Source organism: Homo sapiens, chromosome 9 (genome assembly GCF_000001405.40).
Source record: "Homo sapiens chromosome 9, GRCh38.p14 Primary Assembly".
NCBI lineage: Eukaryota > Metazoa > Chordata > Mammalia > Primates > Hominidae > Homo > Homo sapiens.
Genome location: NC_000009.12, coordinates 110734517 through 110759782, shown reverse-complemented (window position 1 = coordinate 110759782; position 25266 = coordinate 110734517). Strand labels below are relative to the sequence as shown.

At 39.0% G+C, this 25266-nt stretch overlaps 1 protein-coding gene across 9 annotated transcripts in view, besides 1 other annotated feature; it reads right to left on the bottom strand.

The window, feature by feature from the left end:
• The window catches only part of MUSK (muscle associated receptor tyrosine kinase), a 137768-nt gene that overhangs the window by 46776 nt on the left and 65726 nt on the right, over nt 1-25266 (bottom strand). For 8 of the 9 annotated variants that reach the window (XM_005251994.4, XM_005251995.4, XM_017014734.2 and 5 more), the window contains one exon: nt 11983-12142. In XM_005251994.4, coding sequence (XP_005252051.1) covers nt 11983-12142 — 160 coding nt within the window. Of the gene's footprint in view, nt 1-11982; nt 12143-25266 lie in introns of those variants that run through there. The other variant, XM_011518708.3, reaches the window with a different exon arrangement.
• Nucleotides 6680-6974: a silencer, noted in NCBI's record as "tiled region #6532; K562 Repressive non-DNase unmatched - State 24:Quies". NCBI's record gives its function as "represses a minimal TATA promoter and a strong SV40 promoter by Sharpr-MPRA in K562 cells {active_cell/tissue: K562}" and the evidence as "EXISTENCE:reporter gene assay evidence [ECO:0000049][PMID:27701403]".

The window sequence follows — 25266 nt, the reverse complement described above, 5'->3', positions numbered from 1 at the left end:
GTGACATGGTATCTCATTGTGGTTTTGATTTGCATTTCTCTAATGATTAGTGATATTGAGCATTTTTTCATATGCTTGTTGGCTGCATGTATGTCTTCTTTTCAAAAGTGTCTGTTTATGTCCTTTGCTCACTTTTAAATGAGGTTGTTTGTTTTTTTCCTTGTATGTATAATTTCCCTGTAGATTCTGAAATATTAGACCTTTGTCAGATGTATGGTTTGTAAATATTTTCTCCACTCTGTAAGTTGCCTGTTTACTCTGTTGATAGTTTCTTTTGCTATGTAGAAGCTCTTAAGTTTAATTAAGTTCCATTTGTCAGATTTGCTTTGGCTGCAAGTGCTTTTGGCATTTTCATCATGAAATTTTTGCCAGTTCCTATGGCCAAAATGTATTTCCTAAGTTATCTTTCAGGTTTACTGTTTTAGGTTTTATTAGGTCTATAATCCATCTTGAGTTGATTTTTGTATATGGTGTAAGGAAGGGATCCAGCTTCAATCTTTTACATATGGCTAGCCTGCTATCACAGCACCATTTATTAAATAGGGATTCTTTCCCCATTGCCTGTTTTTGCCAGCTTTGCCTAAGACTAGATGGTTGTAAGTGTGTGGTTTTATTTCTGAGCTCTCTATTCTCTTCCAGTGGTCTATATGTCTGTTTTTGTACCAGTACCATGCTGTTTTGGTTACTGCAGTCCTGTAGTATAGTTTGAAGTAAGATAGCATGATTCCTCCAGCTTTGTTCTTTTTGTTTAGGGTTGCCTTGGCTGTTTGGGCCCTTTTTTGATTCTATATGAATTTTAGAATAGTTTTGTTTCTAGTTCTGTGAAGAATGTCGTTGGTTGTTTGATAGCAGTAGCATTGAATCTATAAATTGCTTTAAGCACATTGAGCAGTGTTTTGTAATTCTTATTGCAGAGATCTTTCACCTTCCTGGTTAGCTGTATTCCTCGGTATTTATTCTTTTGTGGCAATCGTGAATGGGATTGTGTTTCTGATTTGGCTTGGTGATTGTTGGTATATAGGAATTTACTGACTTTTGTACATTAATTTTGTACCCTGAAACTTTGCTGATGTTGCTTAACAGCTCAAGGAGCTTTTGGGCAGAGACTATGGGGTTTTCTAGATATAGAATCATGTTATCTGCAAACAGGGATACTTTGAGTTCCCCTCTTCCTATTTGGATGCCTTTTACTTCTTTCCCTTATCTGATTGCTATGGCCAGGGCTTCTAGTACTATGTTGAATAGGAGTGGTGAGAGTGGGCATCCTTGTCTTATTCTGGTTTTCAAGGGGAATACTTCCAGCTTTTGCCCATTCAGTGTGCTGGCTCTGTGAAACCAATTTCTTTACTTCAGCAGAGCTTTATCAGGTTTTGGCAGAATGGAAAAGTCATCACAGATGGTATTAATTTGTTAACACTCCAGTGGCATTTTGAAAACTGTTTTTCAAAATGTTATGATTCTCACTATAAATTCATTTGGAAATGATGCACATTTTGCATTTTAAAACTTTATCAATTAGGGCCAGGCATGGTGGCTCATGCCTGTAATTCCAGCACTTTGGGAGACCCAGGCAGGAGGATCATTTGAGCCCAGGAATTCAAGACCAGTCTGAGCAACATGGTGAAACTCCTTCTTTACAAAAAATACAAAAATTAGCTGGGCGTTATGGCACACACCTGTAGTCCCAGCTATTTGGAAGGCTGTGGCAGGAGGATCTCTTGAGCTCAGGCAGAGGCTGCAATGAGCCGAGATCACACACCACTGCATTCCAACTTGGGAGGAAGAGAGAGAGACTCTGTCTCAAAACAAAACAAAATAAAACCTTTATCAATTACATCTCTTGATAAATAACATGGAATGGTGATCAAAAGAGGGACCCATTTTTCTTTATTCTTTTAAAATACGAATACCTCACTAAACAGAAATGAGCTCTGAGAGTATGCTAATTTGGTTAATGCATACATATGTATATATATACACATACATGTAGAGTTCATAGACTCTTATAATAAAGGAAAGTAGCAAGGAGACAATAATAATCAAAAGGTTCGTTTTTTTAATGGAATAAATTTCATTCCACTAAATATTTTTAGCAGAAATTCAAAATTGTAAAGAAAAAGACTTTTTTTTTTTGACAAATTGGCTAAAGAATAATGCAAGTGTTCAAAATGACTGGAACAGAAAAAGACAGTCACAACAATATGTAACAATCTCATGATTCCCTATATGTGATAAAGTATTAGCAATACAAAAATTAGTCATAAATACTCAGCCATATTATTTGGTAAATGTTTCTTTCTTTCTTTTTCTTTTTTTTTTTTTTCAAGACAGAGTCTCACTCTGTTGCCCAGGCTGGAGCTCAGTGGCACAATCTTGGCTCACTGTAACCTTTGCCTCCCAGGTTCAAGCGATTATCCTGCTTCAGCCTCCTGAGTAGCTGGGACTACAGGCACCTGCTGCCCTGCCTGGCTAATTTTTGTATTTTTAGTAGAGATGGGGTATCACCATGTTGGCCAGGCTAGTCTCGAACTCCCAACCTCAAATTATCCACCCGCCTCAGCCTCCCAAAGTGCTGGGATACAGGCATGAGCCACTGTATCCAGCCAATATTTCATTTTTAATTCTGAATTTTCAACATTAGATGCAATAGTCATCAGGCTAACTGAAATTGAGTTAAGTGAGTTAAGGCAAACTGGTTTTAGAAGTTGATTTTGGGTGAATTAGTCTATTATAAATGTACTGAATTAATCCCATCAAAACACCAGTATTTTCATTTCAACTACTCACAGCATGGACCCCCTTGTATTTATTTATTTTTTCCACCAGTAGTTGGAATGCCCTCAAAAAGCAAGACAAATGATTATAGGAAACATGTAAACACACACACACAGACACACACACGTAGGAAATATGTAAACATACACAGACACACACACACATACAACTTGACATTTTTCCTTGGAATTTACTAAAAGGCACAATCACCCCAACCTTTGTTGCAATTTGTAGGCCCTATAACCAGACAAATAGCTTTGGTTCTCAGCCTTCAAGTAAAGATGAAGGGCATCTCAGCAAATATAAGGAGAAAGGGGATGAATTATTTCCCTAGATCTTCTCATTCTTGAATGATACAATGTAAATGGTAACAACACATCTCATGGAGTCATTTTTCAACTGCCTAAGAATTAAGAGACTAGGACTCAGAGACAAGGAAAGCATTTGTTTTGTCTTTTTTTTTTTTTAATAATATTACTGTCTAAAAAGAATTGCAACAATCTGAGGGCAGAGTGAGAGGGTCCAGGAATAGAACTCCCCACCATTGGGATGGTAGGGACATGGGACATTCCTGTGTGTTCAGTGGATGCTATGAAGGTAGCTAAGTTACCAAGAAGACTGGACACCAGACAAAGAACCCCAGTCATAAGCAATTGCAGGTTACCTCAATAGGGATTGAGATCAAGGACTGGGGATTATGAGAGGTTGAACCAGTAAAGAATCTCCCACATCAGGGCACTGTGCAATACACAGTCTTCCGAAGGACCCTCCAAAGAACCCAAATGTCCTAGGAGACAGTCAGTATTCAGGTACCACCTGCAATAGAGAGACATTAATAACCCATCAAGGCATTAAAAGCCTGGATGCTGCACCTGCTGGGTTTCAATACCGGTTCTGCCATTTACTAGCTGTGTCAGACTGGGCACCTTTCTGAGCATTAGTTTGCTCATCTGTGAAATGGGGATAATAAAAGTATCCATTTCATTGAGTTGTGGGTGTTAAATAAATTCATATATATATATATATATGTATATATATATATGTATATATATATGTGTATATATATATATATATGTATATATATATGGCACTGGGCACTGAGAATGTACCTTGCAATTGTTAACATTATTATTATTAGTCAGAGAAGCAATAACAATTAACAGAGAAAGAACTAAAACATATTCCATTTAGGAAAACACATTTGCCGCCTTCCTTGTAAATCCTCTTCTCCTTAAATATGCCAGAGATGAAGAGGAACAGGAGGAAAGGGAAGAAGGGAAGGGTGTATAATAGTAGCAGACCCATTTTGTCTACTCTCCATGTTCCTGAATGGAAGATTGGCTGGCAGTGGAGAGAGTGAAGCAGATGAGGTTTAAATTATGTAAGAGGAGAGTTTTAAACTAGATCAGGCTGGGTTTTTAATCTCTAAACATTACCTGGAAATTATGGAATCTGCCTGAAAGTTTGTAAAGGGTTTGCTCTTGAGAAGGGCAAGGAGATTCTAAAAGGCATAATTCCTCAGTCCCCATTGGTTGGAGAAAACACCATTTTCTCTGTGTACCTGTCAGGTTTAAATTGTTCAATACACTGGTTACACATATAGCCTCAGGTCTTTGTTACCTCTCTTTATGAGTGATTCATAGTTGTTCTGCAATCTACAATGCACTTTAAAAACAAACTTTTGATCCAGAGTAGGGTTTTAGCCAATAATAAGCTCTAAAATTTTATCCCTCCCCTAAATGGGTCACTTTGCTTAGGGACAGAAGGCCACATCCTTTTAGCAGTGAGAAAAGCTGGATTTCTTTGTGAAATTTCTTTATACATAAGAACTAACAGACTCTGGAGTGACTATGAAGGAAACATCAAGATGTCTCTAACATTTGCAGGACTCCAACTGCGAGATAATTTGCTGGACAATAGGAAAATCATTATAAATGTTATATCTATTTACATTCTGAAAAACATCTAGTAGATTCTTTCTGTTTTACTGAGATAGGCAGGCTGGGTTATAGGATTGTCATTTTGATCATCTAAGAGGTGATGCCAATGATGTCAACAAATTATAAATTAGAGAGAATTTAAATTTTAGTGAACCGGGCTAGAGGCCTGCAAGAGTCTCTTAATTAAAATGACCAAAGGCTATGAAAGAGAATGAAGAGAACTCTATGTCACTGCTGAACTCAGGAAAGAAGTGCCTTCATGCCCCCAAATCTCATGGCAGTTCTGCCATTATACAAATACAATAGTGGGAAGAAAGACAGTGGAACACTGGAAAATTCTTCCAGAGAAAATGGCATATAATTTGGAAATACAAAGGCAGATTCTAATAGCAGCTGAGCAGGAAGATCTATTGAAAAGCAAGGGGGCCAAGGTTATGTAAATGATAGAGCCCTCATTTTGTAATGTGGAAGGAGCATGGAGATAAGCCAATGCAAAAGAGAATCCAGCCATAGTACCTGGGAGGGGATAATGAGCTTCTATAGGAAATGTCTCCACTTGCATTTTCTTTTATTTTTGTGGGGGTGTATGGCTAGGAGATGAGGAAGGGGTCCAAGAACCTTGCAACTATAAAGTGCTTTAAGCTCAGAATTCAATTTTAAAAAATTCTCAAAATATCCCACCAATATTTGTAGTATTTAAAAATTCTTAAAATATCCACCAATATTATAGTATCTTTAAAATTATCTAGAAGTCAGCAAAAACATTGGCTCTCTTCTGAAACAGAACTGTTCTAATATAAGAAAGCTGCCTGATTGTAAAAGGATGCTTACCTTTTATGCCTAACTGCAGAACATCTGGTAGCAATTTAATGTGGCTACTGGCTGTTACTCATTTATCCTTTTCCCTTTTATTAAGAACAAAAACAAAATGACTTTAATTAATTTAAAACCAGAGAAAGCCAGCATGGAATGCCAGGGATGGTGTCTGTTTTGTTGATAAGAACACTCTTTACCTATGATGGTTGAAGCACTGAGTGGTAAAGCAAATTACGTGCTACTGCTCTGTTACCAAGTCTCAAGAATTATCTCCAACATTGGGAGGAAACAGGAGTGTGGCTATCAGACATGAGAAAGAGCATGAAACATGTCAGTACATTCAATCAGCTATACTGATTATGAAATAGTGTTCAAAGTTCCATTTTTTTTTTCTGTAGTAGTGTGAAACATCACCTCTTTTGAAATAAGAAAAATAAAACCATGTGGTTCATCTGGGGAGTTTGGGAGACTCCAGTATTACCACATCAGATTTTTCCCTCCTGCTCAGTTTTGATACTACTTGTATTCATGTGACTTTTAAATTTAGTGACCAAAAGGCTTAGACCCTGAGGTCGATTCAAAGAAGGGGCAATATAGAAAGTGGGGGTTGTTGGTAGAATGGGGAGCGGCTTACATTAGAGGGGTGTGTGACCATAGGCTCGTCCCTGTACTCTGAGACTGGATAAACATGGATAGAACCATGGACTGCACTCTCTGATGAAGGACCTGTTGGTGCCATTGAGAATGGGAAATACAAATATGTATTTTATTTCTCTCTCTCTCTCTCTCTCTTTTTTTTTTTTTTCCTTTTTGAGATGAAGTCTCACTCTATTGCTCAGGCTGGAGTGCCGTGGTGCAGTGGTGCAATTTCAGCTCATTGCAGCCTCCATCTCCCAGGTGCAAGTGACTCTCATGCCTCGGCCTCCCAAGTAGCTGGGATTACAGGCATGCGTCACCATACCTGGCTAATTTTTGTATTTTTTAGTAGAGATGGAGTTTCACCATGTTGCCCAAGCTGGTCTCGAACTCCTGACTTCAGGTGATCTGCCCACCTCGGACTCCCAAAGTGTTGGGGTTACAGGTGTGAGTCACCACACCCGGCCTGTATTTTTCTCTTCTGAATCCCTGTGTCCATTTTCATGGTCTCCGGCTGTTTTAGGACTATGCTCACTATTGGTATCATAGGCTGTCTTGCTTTCTTCCACAGGGCTGAGGGTTCTGATGACAAAGAGAAGCATCTTGCCAAATGCCCAGCATCCTGGCAAGTTTACTTTGCAACTTGAGGCTTTATGGGGTTGTGACTGGAGGGGAAATGCAACTTCCTGGTTCATAGGGAGAGGTTCCAAAAGTTTTTCTGACTCCTTTTGATGACTAACAGTAAATGTAAATGAGTCAGAAAGAAATATATCACATTTCTAAAACAATGCATAAGGATTTGGGCAGACACATGGAAGGGTTTTGGAAAAATGAAGCCTGATCTTTATTTTTTGTTGTCCTTCAAACACTAGAAATATCATTAGACATAATCCTAAGCATAAGCATAAGATCAGCTTTTTCCATTTCCAGTTTTCCTGCTGGGAAGAGCAAATAAACAGATGGAGTAGAAATTTCAAAGGGAAACACGAGGAACATGACAGAGGGGGCTGTTGACTACTAGGGGTACTAGTCACATAGGGGAGGATGGAGATGGTTAAATGAGACAGCAGAGTTTGGCATTAAGGAAGCATTGCCAGAATGGCAAAAGAGGCGCCATGTCTGACTTGAAGTTCTGGACTTCTGGCCAGCCTCATCGGATGCCGAGAGAGGGGCCAAAAGCAGAAATGGAGAAAGCAGATACCATACTTGAGTTCTGGGAGATCTGGGGAGCATAAGGCCATGCTTCTTTCAAATGACCCTGAATGAAAGAGGCTCCAAGGATCCCTTTTTCATCGAAGTAGCCTCATTTCCCTAAAATATCAGTCCACGGAGCACCCCAGTGTTGGGAGGTAGTTTCCTCAGTGATTCCAGAGGGACCTTCATGGGGCTTCTAGCAGGTCTAACTCACAAGAGCAGGTCAAAGAGGAAGAGAAAATGGAAGTTGTCTCATGGGAGTTCAGAAGTCTTATTCAATCACACTCATGACACACCCTTATTAGGTCTGCCTCGGGAAATTTTGGGAAAAGTCGAGGAGTGTCAAGTCCCCTAATAATCAGTGAGAATCAACCAGACAAACAAATCAGGGGTTGGACAAAAGGGTCTTATTCCAGGGAATAACACTAGATGTGTAGCAATTTTTTAATTAATAGGCATGTTTCTCATTTATCATATCCACTCTAGACCTTTTTAGTCTTTTCCATTTTTCAGTTTTCGAGTAACAACTCTCATTTCTTTACTTGACTCCGAACATCGTGCAGCACTATGATTCTGTATATGGTCAGATTTAATTGTTGCCTTTGTGGTTCAGAAGAGCAAAGTCCCAGGTCCCAGTTATAGGTTAACCCTCTCCTTATGCTGCCTTCTCTACCTCTACCCAAGTTCCTTGGGTAGCTACTGTAAACATACCCCTGTCCAGAGTGGCTTCAAGCCTCACTTCCAGGGTCCCCAACTTCTCCCCACTCTAAAGCTGACCTCCATCGCACTGCCATTGTCAAGCTCATGAAAAGTCATAGCTGGTTCTAGTCTACACAACCATTATTCCTACAGAGATAACTGCTCTTCATAGGCACTCACCTCTGCTGCTGCAGCAGATTGCAAGTTGCTCTCTGCTGCCACATGCCAATCTTTGCATTGCTCCCACCATCCCTTCCCCCATGCAAATTCCACTGTTATTTTTCCTGGGTGGCCATTGCTGATTGTCCCCATCCTCATTCTGGTCTTTCTCAACACTGATATCTAAGATGACCTCTCCCTACACCCTAGGACATGGCCTTCCTATACTGCCTGTCTCAGACCTTTAGGCTCTTTCTACCACTGGAAGATGCCGTTTTTTTAAGGTTACAGATTTCCCTGTTGGTGTTCCGTTTATGGAGTTGGATCAGGTTCTCATCTGGGCTAGGACAGGAATGAAGTCATGATGTTGCTGCATATAGTATGGTGGCAATCATGCCCTGTAGTCCTCTCGGCATCTTAAAGATTGTGTCCATGGGATGAATCTTCCCTTGTGTGGAGTAGATATACCCATTTTATTAGGTTCCCCTCAGTGGTTATAGCACTGCCTTCACAACCACCTTTGTACTTATGATGAGTAGGCTCTAAAGATTACTGCACTGAAGGTTGGGGGAGATTCCTGACCACCTGCTCTTCCAGCTTCATATGCTGTGAAAAGGAGGAAGGTAGGGAGATTAAAAATTTGGATATTTTATAGATTTTATAGATCCCTTTTCTGAATGCAAATCCTAGAATAGAGGTGTATTGATCAATTAAGGAAAAAGCCAAAAGCAGATGGAGTTTTTCTAACTTCTTATTTAGGATGCTATAAGTAAAACACCCCACAGGGATCCCTTACTCCAACATGGATGGCAACATTAATGTGAAAATGGTAGCATGACAAGGTTGGGCAGACAGCAGAACTGAGTTAGCAAGCCCAAATCTCTCCTGAATTCTGTATGCCTTGAAAGTGATCTAGAAGTTGCTTCAGGCCCTGTGAGGAGTACTGAAGGAGCTGAGTTGGAATTCAGCAGGCCAGCCACAGGGCCACAGTAGGGACAGACAGGGAGACCTAGCTTCTGAGGTTGCAGAGCAGAGTGTAGACAATGGCATGATGAAGGATTTGGCTGAGATGCAGAGGGCTGTGCTGCTCCAAAAGATGTCTCAAACAGGCTAAGCCAGCCAGGGAGGTCCCCTGGGCCCTAACCAAGCCAAGAGATAAAATCACAAGTTCAGCTGCAGACTTCACTAGAGATCCGGGGGTTAGCAGTGGTGTGGGGGGTGTCCAGAAGACACCACTGCCTAAATACAAATCCTCTTCTCCTTTGCCATCTAGGGAAAGAGAAAGAAGGAAGAAAAGGGAGAAAGAGCTCTGGCACGGGTATCTTTGAGTGACTGAATAATGACCTGAAATGAGACTCTCCTAAGATTAGTAACATTAGTATTTTTCTTCTGCCAGTGAAAGTGCAGGTTAAATTAAAGTAGATCAGTTTATTTTCTTGGATGGAGTATTCATATTTAAATGTGATTCTCTCTCTCTCTCCATGTGTGTGTATATAAACACACATACATACATATATGTTATATAAATATATATTGATAGATTTTTATAAATATATGTTTATTTAACAGTAGGTCTTGATCAAATGTCAAATAATACAAAGACAGTGAGACCAGAATAATTCCAGGTAATTCAAAGGCATCAACATTTTTGAGTATTCTATTATCTCCTGGACCTTCTCCTGTTCATATGCTTTGTGTTTATATATTATTGCTTGTCCTGGGCACCTTTCAAAATCAGACACATCTGAACTCATCCTTCTAGCCCACTGCCATTTTCAAGCATTTGCAAACCTTATTTCTATCCTGATTTGTCCTGTGCATCTCTCCTCTTCCCTTTGAACCAATGCTGCTGCTGCTGTTCAGACCTTCATGACTTTTTGAGACACCTGGAAGAGCCTCCTGACAGCTTGCCGCACTTCTCAACCTCCTAACACCTCAGCATCTGTTAATTTGCTAGAGGATATATCTATTGCACTTATTTCTTCTAAATCATTAAATGACTTCTCATCAATGAAATAATATACTAAACCTATGCAGGCTCTTCATAACCTGGCTAGAGCCCATGTTTCAACTTTTGTTTCCACTTTCCACCTCCCTGCTGTCTCTCTCGTGGTCTAGCCTTGACCACTGATTTGCTGTTTTTTGAACAGGTTTGAAAGGTTTGACTTCAACCTAGTCATCTCATATCCACATCTTCTGCTCCAATGATACCTCTTTTCCAAGGATTCCCTGACATCCTGCCTCTCTTGTTCTGCTGTTGTATTTTGTGTATGCTTCTGCAATAGAATACAGCCAGTGCCATAATATACGTGACTGACTGACTTCCTTCTAGATGCAGAGTCCCTGGAAGGCAGGACCCATTTTTAAATTAACTTTTCATCTCTTACTCTACCCAACACAATGGGCGTCATCTAGAGTATTTGATAAATGCATGTAAAAGTGCTTTATAAACAGCAAAGTGCTATGTAAATAGTAATTCTTATTACTATTTATATTATATGATTATACTATTACTTATTATGTGATATTATTATTATTTGTTAAATTGAGTTGAATTTACTTTTAGAAGACTTTTCATTTTCTGGGAGAAATAATTTCCCACCTGTGGAAATGCTAGAATAACTGATATGGTGTCTGAAGACATGGTAGGCAGAGATATCACTGGGGGGAGAAAGGAGAGGGAACCTTAATTTTGAAGTCTTCCTTTTCCTTCATAGGCAGTCCCAGAGGGCCAGCCTTGTCCAGTGCTCCTTATCATTTATCTGTGGTTTTTATTCACCTCATATTACAAATCACAGACATTACTGGAAAGTTCCCCATCAGGGAAGATCAAAGAGGTGGCACTGTAATAAGAAACAGCAGGCTGTGGGGAGTTGGCCCTAGGCACAAGCTCTATCCGTGCTTGCCTTACATGTCAGGCCAAGCACCTCTCTCCTGACCCTTGAGCCCTAGGCACGCTATGAATCTAATATGCCTGGCATTTCCTGATACAGGGATTATTTCCATCTCTAGGAATTCTATAAATGTTCTCAGAAGCCTTTGGGACATTTACATTTTAAAAATAAACCTTTAGAACTCAACACAAACATCCTAGAAATCCGTGTGTCAGCCTTTTTCTTGAAAACACCTGTAAGACCTGCTGTGGCTTGCTGAAGCAGGGAAGGGAAAGACCACAGGGATCATGCTCACAGGTAAAAATGCCCGCAAGAAATAGCCATGCAGAAATTGGCATGACCATGTTGAATGTCTGCCAACTTTCTCCATGAGAGACTTGGAAAGTTTGATCAACCAAAAGAGAGAACGAGGAGTGGGGAAAAGGAAAGGAAATTAAAGAAAAGGAAAAGAGGGAGGGAGGGAAGGGAAGAGGGAGGGAGGGAAGGAGGGAGGAATGAAGGAGGGAATAAGGGAAGGAAGGAAAGAAGGAAGGAAAAAAGGGAGCGAGGGAGGGAAGGAGGGAGGGAGGAAAGAGAAATGGAGAAAAGGAAAAAAGATAAGAAAAACAAGAAGGAAGGAAGAAGTGAGTTCCTGGAAGCTGTTACCTACCACTTGGGTAGGTATTGAGGATTTAGTTTTCCAGGCAGCAAATCTGCCAAAATCCATATCTAGGTCACCTCCGGAGTATCCCCATGGGGGAGGAAATAGCCCAAATGCAACTGAAATAAGAGATAAAAGAAAAGGGAGATTTTCTCCAATGCTCGATATTGTAGAATAGTATCAACTCTCCCCTCTCCTGGAACAACGCAAATGTGAAGGGGCATCCTACCTGCTATGCTGATGGTGGCTGCAGCCTTGGCAGTACTGAACTTCTCCCCATGCTTATTGGTAGCTATGCATGTGTAGAGTCCTGGCTTGGTGATAAACAGCTGCAGTCTTGAGTCAATCACTCGGTCTTTCACACTCTCTTGAATGGACCCAGAAGAAACCTGACAGAGTAAAGGAAAATAAAAGAACTCAGTCAAGGATTTCCCACTATACTATGTCAGTAGATTTGAAGGGAAAAGCATTAAGATTATAATCAAGTGCATGTGGTACACTGCAAACATAGCCAAAAGATTTTCCCTCCCTGTGTCCATGCCCTTGCAATGTGACTTTGTAGCTCTTCCCTCAAGAAGTAGCATTTTCCTCCATAATTTGAATCTAGATTAGCCTTGTGATGTGTTTTGGAATGAATGAGCAGAAACTAACGTTCTTGCACATTGTGGCTTGCTTTCTTGTTTATGGAACCTGGGACTGCCTATAAACAAGCAAGAGCCAGCATGGTAGAAGATGAAACACACCTGGCCCGTTTATCCCCTCTGCCCCAGGTGGGAACCAACAACAACCATCCAAGGTACGCATAAGGCTATTCTGAACCAACTACCACCTTTTCAATCTGCCGATCACAGGAACTTGACCAGCCAAGATCAGGCAGTCCTGCCCAGCAGCAAAACCAAATCAGCAAAACCACCCAGTTGAACCACAGACTTGTGAGCACTAATAGTTATTGGTTTAAGTCACTAAGCTTTGGGCTGATTTGTGATACAACCATAGATAACCAATACAAGGCATGAATTATATACGGTGTGGATCCTCTGATATATGTCTTCAGTGTCCTACAGATGACAGTTAAGTATGAGAGGTTGCAGACTTAAGGACTTATTTTCATAACTCCTGTTCAGTTCCCCATAAATGCATGTCAGATAGGTGGATGGTTGTCAGGAAAAATGGTTGTGAAGCCAAGTCTGTCTCTGAGGCATGACATACATAATACATACATAATACCTCAAGGTCACCGAAAACATCCTTAGTAGGAAACAGAAGCAGTTTTTAAACTGCCTGACCTCTCTTCTCCTGGACTTCATCCAGGTGTTGAAATAGTTCAACACGTCAGGAAGTTCATGCAGGAGGTACTACTTAAACCAGAAAATCAAATGTCCTTAAAGAGCCAAGATATCAATGCAATATTGACACACAATTAACAGCTTAATTTATACAAATGCATATATATTAGTCAACATTACTCCAACTCTGTAGGAAAGATAGCTGCCCAGCACATTTTACAAGGTTGCATAGTTAGAATTTGCATCCTAGCGTGTCTGACACCAAAGCCTATGCTTTTAATCATTATGTTACAGTGCCTTCCCTAGTCCTAGAAGAGAGAACAAATGAGCAGTCATTAGAAAACAAGAGTAACAACTACCTTAACAAATCAACCAACCATGAACAAAATACATATCTGACAAATGTCATTGTTAAGGTGGTGGCATTTTTTTTAAATGGTGGTTCTTTTTTCACTGTTTTCTTGAGCACAATACCACCTTTTCAATAACTAATCTTTAATTAACGCTGCTTATATCAGGGAAACATGATGCCAATTGAGGGAAACTGGAGTGAAATGACAGTTAAGGAATCAGCTGGTGTTATGCTTTGACTTTATCTTAAAGGAGTGGAGGTACGTCCCATGTTGGCCTGAGCTTGGCTGCTTGGCTGAAAGAGATTCCTGTGTCCAGTATTAGGGAATGAGGCTGAGAATGAGACATTTTGGAGCCAATTATTTTATTGTGTTGCATGAGAAAGGATTTTCACAGTTTGACTAGCCAGGAAGAAGAAAGCTCTGAGGTAAGGCCAGCTTTCTTCCTAGCTGCCAGGTGGCTGGCTATCCCTGGCACCAAGCACTGTGTAGCAATCATGCAGTGAACGTTTGTCCAACTAGCTTTTTATTCTTTACCTTCAGTACTAGTCTCAATTCTTATGATAAAAACTGGCTTATGTGAGTATCAATTTACCTTCACTGGGAATCTTTCCAGGTCAGATCAAGTATTGTGGCATTTTCCCCAGATGAGCAACCTAGACTCTATAAGAAATTTACAAAGTGAAGAGAAAAATGTTTTTAAGAGACATGCACTCAGTTGGGAATTCAAACTAAACTCATCATTATCATATTTATCAGAAGTGCAATGTCTCATTGTATGAGTATCCCAGTTAGATCAAGGGGACTGAAAATATTTGGACTCCCTTGAATTTTAATACAAAGCAACAATAAGAAAAAAAGCTAAAGACCCCAAGCCTCTATGCTCAATCAACAGACTTTATGTTATTTTGTATTTTATATTTTGTTTATATATCTCTTTCCAGTTTAGATAAGCAAAAGCAGAACAGTTTGCAAAATCCTTTGGAAAGACAGTTCCCTCCTGCAAGAAGTAGGAATGTGCAATGCCTTAGAGACAACTTTGAAGCAAGGAATCTCCCCAAATGTTGCCCTAAGTCCCACTGTTTTCATGTTCACACCTAAGAAAGTCATTCTTAAACACCTCCTCAAGGTCACTGAAAACATCCTTAGTAGGAAAGAGAAGCAATTTTTAAACTGCCTGACGTCTCTTCTCCTGGACTTCATCCAGGTGTTGAAATAGTTCAGCAAAGAGACCAACACTTTAGGAGGTTCATGCTTGAGTACAAAGTGACTCCTGAATGCTTTTCCCCCTGCTTCCAGAGGCCTTGCTTGATTCAGTTTGTGACTCACGCACAGCAGGCCCCATTAGTCATAGTTTGAATTTGTTTTTCTTTCTTCATGGATGGTTCTGATCAACAGTTTAGTATTTTTGATGATCTGAAAATAAAAACAAATCCCTCTGCCCTCCATTTTGATATTTTTTCGCACCTCAGGTTTCAAAGATCAAAGGGGTGGGTCCAGATTAGTACTGTGAGCTTTTACCAAGGTATGCCTAAGCAAAACAGATTACTTAATTGAGGTGACTACGTCTGGTAGTTACAGGAAATGCATGATTTTCTCCAAGTCACTCAGGTATATGGACCTGAGGGAGCTGGAGACACAGCTCCCTGCTCTGGGTGTGATGTTCTGTCTTTCTAAGTTAGCTGTAACTATGTGAGGAGATGGACTTGTTAATTTGCTTGACTATAGTAATCATTTCACTGTATATGTTTATCTAAACATCATGTTTTGTACCTTAAATGTATACAATAAAGATCACAATAAAACTTTTTTTTCTAAAAAGAGGCAGTAGGATAGGAAGCTCTATTAAATAGGCATAATAATTCATGCCTGACATAATGTGTGTAAAAACTCTTTGAAGGTGATTGAGCAGTTATAGACCTGTGGAGTACTTCTTAATGTATCATTAATACATTACTAATGCGGTCTTGAGAGAATCCACCCCCAGCTATGGATAATCCGATAATTTTATGATTTGACCTTAGCTAGGGAAGACCTCTGAAAGGTATTCTGGCCTCAATGGCCCTGTCTTGCAGATAGTTCCAGCTGGCTGGAAATATCCTGTGGAACTGTTAGAATATGGCCCAGGGCCGGGTGCAGTGGCTCATGCCTGTAATCCCAGCGCTTTGGAAGACCAAGGCAGGCAGATCACGAGGTTAGGAGATCAAGACCATCCTGGCTCACATGGTGAAACCCTGTCTCTACTAAGAATACAAAAAGTTAGCTGGGCTTGATGGCACCCACCTGTAGTCCCAGCTACTCCAGAGGCTGAGGCAGGAGCATTGCTTGAACCCAGGAGGTGGAGGTTGCAGTGAGCTGAGATCGCGCCACTGCACTCCAGCCTCATGACAGAGCAAGACTCCATCTTGGGGAAAAAAATAAAAAAAAAAAAAAGGATGTTGCCCAGTAGGGTTCATGTTTATGCAGTTGTAATAATGTCTGTTTATGAATCATAGAAAAAGGGATAATAAACCAAGAGACATTTCCATAGTTTTTCTGATTAATGTAGCCACAAATATTAATTAGCCTCTTTCAAACTGGCTGCTGAATTATTCCACATAAGACTTGTTACATGTAATTATTTTGGTTTACACAGCTAGTAAGATAAAAGGACTTCACAGGTCATATATTTTAAAGCAAAACTACTGCCTCTTAAAAATATGTCTAAATATAGATATGCCTCCCTTTAAGAAAATTCTAAAAGACAACCTTCAACCTAGGTGATTTGGCTGTTTATTTTATAAAATTCTTCTAACAAGTTAAAATTATTCAACTTCTACAATATTTTAGAAATTATATTTATTGGACAAAGCAAGAGGGACATGAAATTTTTCTATATTTTTTAGTTGCATGCCAAAATAACAGAGATATTACTGGTATAACTATAAATAAATCTGGTTATAAAAATACAAATAATTTTCTTTTTAAAAAGTAAGCTCTGCTCTTTCCATGCCAAACTACTATTTCCAAGATTGTAAAACAAAAGGAATGTTACTATTCACTCTGAACTTCATCTGTGAATTCAGATTTCCACAAAAAATGCTTGGTATTTCCATAGGAGGAAAGCAAGATAGTTTCTAATCACTTTGGGACACGTTGCTGGACTTTCTCCTGCTCTTTGGCTCTAACTGTTAAGGGTTTTGGTTCACTGGCAGGTTCACAGCAGGGGAGAAAGGGAGCACTCACTTCTTTCAGAGTACCCATTGTACTGAGCAGCGTGCTATGGCATTAGTTTACTAACTCGTAGTGAGTGAAGAGCCACAGTTCAAACTCTGTTTCATTCTGTGCCAAATATCTCCCAGCTCTGCGTTCGTCTTTGTTCATTCCACCAAAAATGATATCAGGACTATAGGATTCTCTGTGTTCTCCTCCATGGGATTTCTGGTTTGCAACTTTTACAACATTAAATGCCTGACATTGCCTCCATGTCCTGTGATTTGCGTCAATGTGGACAGTCATCTTGATTTCCTTTCAGACTTGGGTAGAATTACCAAGAACTAAACTTGGCTCTAAGAGCAGCACACACTCTCTGACCGTAAGAACTGCGGATGTACTTTTGCTTTCTTCCTGGATGAAAGTCACTTTGTTTGTTTTATTCCTGTTTTAGAATCTGAGGTGATAAATCTATTTTGCCTTTCACTTTTTGTGAGTCACATGTTGAATGAATAAGTTGGGGTCTCAATAAGGCCTCAACTATCTTAAACTATCCTACTCTTGTTATTCCTAAACTTCGACAGAGAATAATCATTTATCTTCCATTTATAACCTCATATGAATCTTTTGAAAATACTAGAAATTTAAAAAGTATATACCTTTCCATTTTCTTTATTACTATTTTTACATAGACAAATTAGTGAAGTTATATTGTCAGTCTCCCAATTTTATTTTGTTTATTTTTTGAGATGGAGTTTCTCTCTGTTGCCCAGACTGGAGTGCAGTGGCGCAATCTTGGCTCACTGTAACCTCCACCTCCTGGATTCAAGTGATTCTTCTGCCTCAGCCTCCCAAGTAGCTGGGACTACAGACATGTGCCACCACGCCTGACTAAATTTTTTGTATTTTTAGTAGATACGAGGTTTTCACCGTGTTAGCCAGGATGGTCTCCATCCTGACCTCATAATCCTCCCACCTTGGCCTCCAAAAGTGCTGGGATTACAGGAGTGAGTCACCGCACCCGGCCCAGTCTCCAAATTTTCTTAGGATGTCTTTATACTCCCTTGACAGGCTTAAGACTATAACAGTTTCCACAGAGGAGCCAAAAAACACATTGACAAATAAGAATCAAATTTTAAATGACACTTGAAACGTTCTTAGAGAGGTAAAGAACAGGCACTCCAAGTTACTTTATCATAACTGGACAAAATTAGAGAACATTAGCCCTGATGTCTCTAATTATACCATTAGAGATCATCTTTGACAGCCACCTGACGTCTGTGTTAGTGTAGATAGATATGAGAAAATCAGTGTCTGAGTTGTAAACGGACCCCAAAATCACATTAACTAAAGAGGGGCATTTACAACCTCAGTCTTCCAACTCCCCATCTAATTCTCATTCTACCATGCCTCAAGTTACAAGCTGGAAAAGCACGTTCATTTGTTTGTGTACTGTATTTGAAGGGATGTAGGATAGACAGATAAAATGAAACAATTTTATTAACAAATTACGAAAAAAATGATTTTGTTCAAGTAACAGAAAAAAGACTTCAGCGAAAACAATAGTGAAAGTGACAATAATAAATGAATTATATGACTTGGAGGGTGCCATTGCCATAAGACATTCTTTGTTATTGGGGTAGCCATAGAATTTGGCATTTTTTTTCCTGTTTTACAACATCCAACTAAAATTTCACACATTGACGCACTTTGTTCCCCACTTCCTTCTCTCCCTTTCCCTTCTTCCCTTTCTTATCTTATGTCCTAGTTCTCACCTTTTGGGGCTACAGCCAATCAGTCTTCCTAGGGCACCCTGCTTTAGAGAGACAAGGGTGGGGCCAGGTACAAGTATAGAGCAAAGCATTAGTTTTTGAAACTCCTTTAAAAAAATTTAGACTTTTAATTTTTTTTAGCTTATTGGTGGTATAACTCACAAATAGAAATTGTATATATTTAAGGTGAACAAGGTGATGTTTTGAGATATATATGTATATTATGAAATGATTACTGCAATCAAGCTAGTGAAGTATCATCTCACATGGTTACCTTTGTGTGTGTGTTTTGAGAACACTTAGGATCTACCCTCTTAGCAAATTTCAAGTGCGCAATACAGTGTTGTTAGCTGTAGTCACCATATTGTACATTACATCTACAGTACTTAATTCATCTTGCATGACTGAAACTTTGTACCCTTTGATGATCATCTCCCCATCCTCCCATCCCTGACAGCCACTATTCTATTCTGTGCTTCTATGAGTTCAACTCTTAGATTCCACATATAAGTGAGATCATTTGGTATTTGCCTTTCTGTATCTGGCTTATTTCACTTAGCATAATGTTCTCGAGGTTATCCATGTCGAGACGCCTTTGAATAAGGGTTCAGGCCCGGGAAACTTCACTCCCAGTCTTCCGAATGCTCTTCCCTTCTATCTTTCTGAAACTGTAAGTTGTTTAACTTTATTTAAAAGCAGTATACAAATTAACTTATTACATGGAGATGCCTCAGGGTTACCATTCTTTCATGCCGCGAAATGCTTCTAAAGCCTACAGTATGCCAAGCCCTAGTGACAGGGTAACTTCCTGCTTTAAGGCTATCTGTTTTTTAGTTTTTATTTTGCTCCAGAGTATTTGCCTTAGTTTTAGTCACTGTTATTTAATTTAGAGGAAGAAACCTTATAATGGTCTATAAAAGAGAGGAATAAAAACTATTTTGGAATGAGAACTGTGTTATGAAAAAACACTCTGGGATTTTTGGCGCTCATCATTGTAGGCACAGACACCAGAAGTGCACACACAAGGAGAGAAAGCCCTGTGAGAATACAGGGAGATAACCATGTGAAGCCATCTGCAAGCCAGGAAGAGAGGCCTTACCAGAAACCAACCCTGATAGCACCTTGACCTTGGACTTCCAGCTTTTAGAACTGTAGGAAAAAAAATTCTGTTTTTTAAGACACCCTATCTGTGGTATTCTATTATGGCAGCCCTAAATACTAATGTAATCCTGGAGAAGAGAAAGTCATGAAGACATGAAATAGTTCAAGTCCATGAAGGAATGTGCCTTGGATTGGGTAGAAATTATACTTAATATCATTTGAATTATACCATAAGGTTTTGCCTTCCTTAAAAAGAAGTCCCCCATTTTCTTGTTGTGATGCTTGCATTAAACACAATTTGGGATGATGTGGATATTAAAGTGTCCCGATTTGGGACACTTCTTTGATCTCCAAATGGTACCATTAATATATTGTAATATGATAATATATGTTCACTACAGCCAAGATACCAAAAAGTTGGACAGCCTGTCCTGGAGGAAATGAAAACTGAAAATAGCCACCAGTTAGATGAGTTATAAAGGTTTGGGTTGTTCAGCCATATTGAAAGCCATTCTCAATCCACCCAAAGGACTGGGTTGGACATGCACCCATCTCCTTAAGGGATAAAAGTATCCTCCATGGGACCACCCGGAGAGTTATAAATGTGTTTTACTGCTGTGCAGTAAAAAGTTGAAGGGCTAACTCAATGGGCTCGAGGTGCTCAAACCCTACACATTCCAAAGAAAGGTCTGGCCTTTGGCTCCTGAGAGATGACCTCTGCCCCTTGGAATATCCTGTGTAATAAGAATATCTTTATATATCTGAGATTTTGGGCAATGCTGGATGGTTTATGATAATAATGTGAATGATAGTGAATACTTGGAATCCTAGGCCACGTTGTATTAGTTTGACCTTTGGAGGGGCTGGAAACTAGCTAAGACTAGTTATGTGAGCACTCCACATCTATGTAACTGAGCTCCAGTAAAAACTCTGGACACCAAGGTTAGGGTGAGCCTCCTTGGTTGACAATACTTCATGCATGCTGTCACACATTGTTGCTGGGAGAATGAAGTGCTGTCCATGCAACTTCACTAGAAGAGGAAAACTGATGCCTCTTTGATGATTTTAATCTATATCCTTTTCCTGCAATAAGCCATAATCATAACAGCTTATCTAAAATCTGTGAGTCCTTCTCATGAATCATCAGACATGAATGTGATCTTGGGGACTCTAACACACTTGCAATTTGGAGACACATTAGACAAGTATGTAATTCCCACCTGTAAAATCTAAAGGATGTCTGGCAGCTCCAATGGAAGGAACAAAGAAGACAGAGTCCAATGGTCTGGGCTTCCAGAGTTTGTCAATAAAAAGGTTTTATAGAAGATCTGATTGGGAGTCATTTTCAGTCCTCCCAAGATGACTTTTTGGGGGACTGATTAGACCCCAACACAAAGAGACTTTCCATCAACTAACAAATTGGGGACTTGCTAATGTGGCCAAAGATGGATAGCCTGAGGAAAATGCATCACTGGTATCATCTTAATGTTCCCTGATTTCTGAAGAATCATGAATAGGTCTATGAGGGTAAGAGTCAGTTTTAAATATCTGGCAGGCACAGAAGGTATAAAGCCAACTTACAAGTGCATCAGTTGAATTAGAGCTCTCTTGCACCAGTTATTGCTCCTCCCTACCTCCCACCCACCCCTTCTGGGGTCATAAAGAGCAGCTAGGAAATGGGGGAAGAATGAGTGAGCATGAGGTAAGAAGCCAACTGCAATTTTTTCTTATATGAAAGTTAAGCTGAAATATCCCTGAGAAGGGAGGAACTGTGAATGCCATTGGATGCTTTGGTTATTACTTAGGACTAGACACTTAAATGACTAAGTTGGGATAATGTTAATGATTTCAAATCATCTAATAGTAACCAGAAAAATCACAGAGCCTGCTTAAGGTAGGCTTAGATAGTAGCAAAAGAACTTGCTCTGCTGAATATTTTTAAATGACAAAGAAAATAATAAGATAGTGCTCTATGCAAGTCATGTTCATTAACATCAGAGTTACAGTAATAATAATCTTAGCTCACATGTTTAACCCTTGTTTATGGACCTGAAATCCTAAAAGATAAATACAAAATTAAGAAAAGTAAATATATAGAAAGATGGTATTATAATCAAAGGATCAGATATTTCCAGCAAATTCTGGAAGATAAAAAGAGGTGATTTGATAGATAGAAAAATTAACATCAACTAAGTAGCTGAAACCTAGCACAAAAGAAGAGGTTTACTGAGAGGAGAATGGATACATTTTCCCTACAAAGTCATGGAAAATTTCAAACTTCAGATAGCAGGGGCTGTAAGCAGGAGCCAACTTTAAGAAAGTCAGCAAAGTAATTGAAGAACTCTGGGAGCTATAATGTATGCATATGGCACCAGGCTGAGGCATCTACCTGTGAGATAGAGATTGCGAATGAGATTTTCTGTTGTGGGTTCCTATAGTTGACAATCATGGTGGACACTAGAGCTTGAGAATAACCTGACAGATAAAATAGGGCCCCCTATTTCCTCCACAAACATATGCAGAGCATAAAGAAGAGAAAGATTGAAGTTTTGAAAGAAATTCATTTCAATGGAGTCTACATAGAAAGGATGTGGAGAAGAGAGAAGCAGTAATTATTGGTATAGTAGAGGAAAATGTCTTGGAGTATAAGAAAGACTTGCATCTCAACTTTCTCACCTCAAGCTCTGTATCAAAGGAAACTATGTAAACTTGGCAGTCTATTCTATAAGATTGGAAAAATATTAACAAAGCCTGATCATGATAGCCTACTAAAAGACAAAACCATTTCTGTTATTGAAAATAGATGCAAATAATCCTGAAAGAAATACAGAAAATTGAAACAACACAATTAAAAAATTAAACAAAAAAGCAATGTATTCAGAAATGAAAGAATGGTTCAATATAAGGGAAACTTTGCAATTTAAAGTGAAAAATGACATCAAAAAGAGGATGTAATTGATGATGAAGTGTTTTATTGATTTTAAAATATATTTATATTAAAAATAATTATCAAATTAAGAATAAAAATACATTTTCTTAACCTCATAAAGAGTATCAGAAACTAAAGACTCGGTGCAAACCAAAGTGGTTAAAGTCTATATAATGACAATAAAAATCCATGGTAGGTTTCTGTCTCAGATGTTGATGTTAGGTTATTCAGACAAAGCTACACAGTGAGAAAATTAAAATTTTGAAAAAAAAATTTTTAACAGATGTAACAAACTAAGAAAATCTTATTTACCCTTAGAGAGTTTTCCAAACCCAGAAAATTTGAACTTTCCTTTGGATGGCCTTAGGGAGTCAGGAGATAAATCAAAACTTCATGCCCTTAAGAGTCTAATAAGAGATATAATAAATTAAGATATAAAAGAACTAGATATCAGGGAGCTATCAGTGTGAACTACAAGTTAAATAGTCCACATAATGAATTACTGGTCATGTTATAATTATCTGGGATGCCCAAGGAGCTTCATACCTTGAGCTTAGTTGAAGGTGGTACAAGATTAGCAGTAACCTCTTGTCCCTGGCAGAAACAAGCAAAATTCTCTTTGGAGGAAAATACCTTCATCTAGACCTCAAAATAGTTCCTGATATTTTTATACAAAACAATGCACAGCAGGTAATCAAAGATAGCTAGGCACACAAGGAAACAACACAAAATGAACAAGAATCAGTGGGAAAACAGACAACAGAAACAGACCTACAGTGGCACCTCATCTCACTCAAATAAAAGCAAAGTTGTCTAAATGACCACACGGCCTATAGGATCCACAATGCCTGCCTCTCATCTCTTGACCCTTTGCTTACTCCCCACTAACCACATTGGTCTCCTTGCTGTTTTTCTGACATGCCATGTATACCATTATCTCAGAGACTTTGTCTAGTTATGTTCCCCCAGTTATCTATGTAACTTCACCCTTCAACTCCTTCAGATCTTTGTTCAAATGTCTTTGTCCAAATGAGCCTTCACTGATCATTCTTTTAAAAATATAATCTTCCTCCTGAGGTCTAACTTTCTGTTTAAAATGTTTCTTAATTTAAAATTTTATGGATATATAATAGTTGTACATATTTATGGGGTACATGTGAAATTTTGATATAAGCATACAATGTGTAATGATCAAATTAGGATAATTGGGATATCCATCACCTAAGTAATTTGTCATTTTTTTGTGCTAGGAACATTCCAATTCCACTCTTCTTGATATTTTGAAATACTTAAATATTGTATTGTGCTATGTAGTTCAATATCGTGAACTATGTATAGTTGTCCTGTTGTGCTATTGCTATGGTTTAGATCTGTGTCCCCACCAAATCTCAAGTCGAATTGTAATTCCCAGTGTTGGAGTTGGGCCTGGCGTGGGGTGATTGGATCATGGGGACAGAAGTCTCATGAATGGGTTAACACCATCCCCTCAGTGCTGTTCTCATGATAGTGAGTGAGTGAATTGTGAGATCTGGTTGTTTAAACGTGTGTGGCACCTTTCCTCTCCTTCCTGCTCTGGCCATGTGAGATGTCTTGCTCCCACTTTGCTTTCTGCCATGATTGTAAGTTTCTGGAGGCCTCCCCAGAAGCAGAAGCCATTATGCTTCCTGAATAGCCTGCAGAACCATGAGCCAATTAAACCTCTTTTCTTTATAAATTACCCAGTCTCAGGTATTTCTTTATCGCGATGCGAGAACTGACTAATAAAGCTACTAAGCACTCAATATTGTTCCTTCTAACTTATGTACCCATGAACGAACCCCTCTTTATCCTCCCTTCCCCACTACCTTTCCCAGCCTCTGATATCCATCATTCTACTCTCTATCTCCATGAGATCAATTTTTTTAGTTATGAAAGAGAACATGAAATACTTTTCTTGCTGTGTCTGGTTTATTTCACTTAACATAATGTCCTGCGGTTCCATCCATGTTGTTGCAAATAACAGGATTTTATTCTTCTTATGGATTAGTAATATTTCTTTCATTGTGTATATGTACCACATTTTCTGTATCCATTCATCCATTGATGGATACTTAGTTTGATTCTATATCTTGGTTATTGTGAATAGTGCCGCAATAAACATGGGAGTGCAGATACCTCTTAGATATACTGATTTTCTTTCTTTTGACTGTATACCCAGTAGTGGATTGGTGGATCATATGGCAATTCCATTTTTAGCTTTTTGAGTAACCGCCATACTGTTTTCCATAGTGACTGTAGTAATTCCCATTCCCATGAACAGTGTAGGAGAGTTCTGATTTCTCCTAAGGTTGAACTTTCTGTCTCCTTTTCCTGATTTATTTTTCTGCATGGCATTTGACACCATACACATACAACATATATTTTCCCGTATTTCCCCATGAGAAGGTAAGCTCTTTGAGGGCAGAGAACTTTGCCTGTTTTGTTTACTCCTGTATCCACAGGGCCTAGAATAGTGTTTGATGTTCAGAAGCTCAATACATATTTGTAGAATGAATAAATAAATAAATAAATGTATGTAGGTAAAGTGCTTGGAATAGAGCCTGGCTGAAAATAACTACTTAATATACATCAGTTATTATTACCACTATTGAAAATGAAGAAAAGAATGCTGAACTGACACTGATTCTAACTCCGGATTACTTTCCATCAAAGTAGCCTCTAGCAGGGAACTAATCTTTCGGTGATGAGTTTAATGAAAATTATTTTACTTATATGGGAAGATATTATTACCACTTCCCATTTACACAAAGGCACAAAGAAAGAAATTGGTTTTCTAGTATTCCTCATGATACATGGAAGGAAGCAAACTCTTGGAGTTTGATTTCTATGGCAATGGCTTCTAGG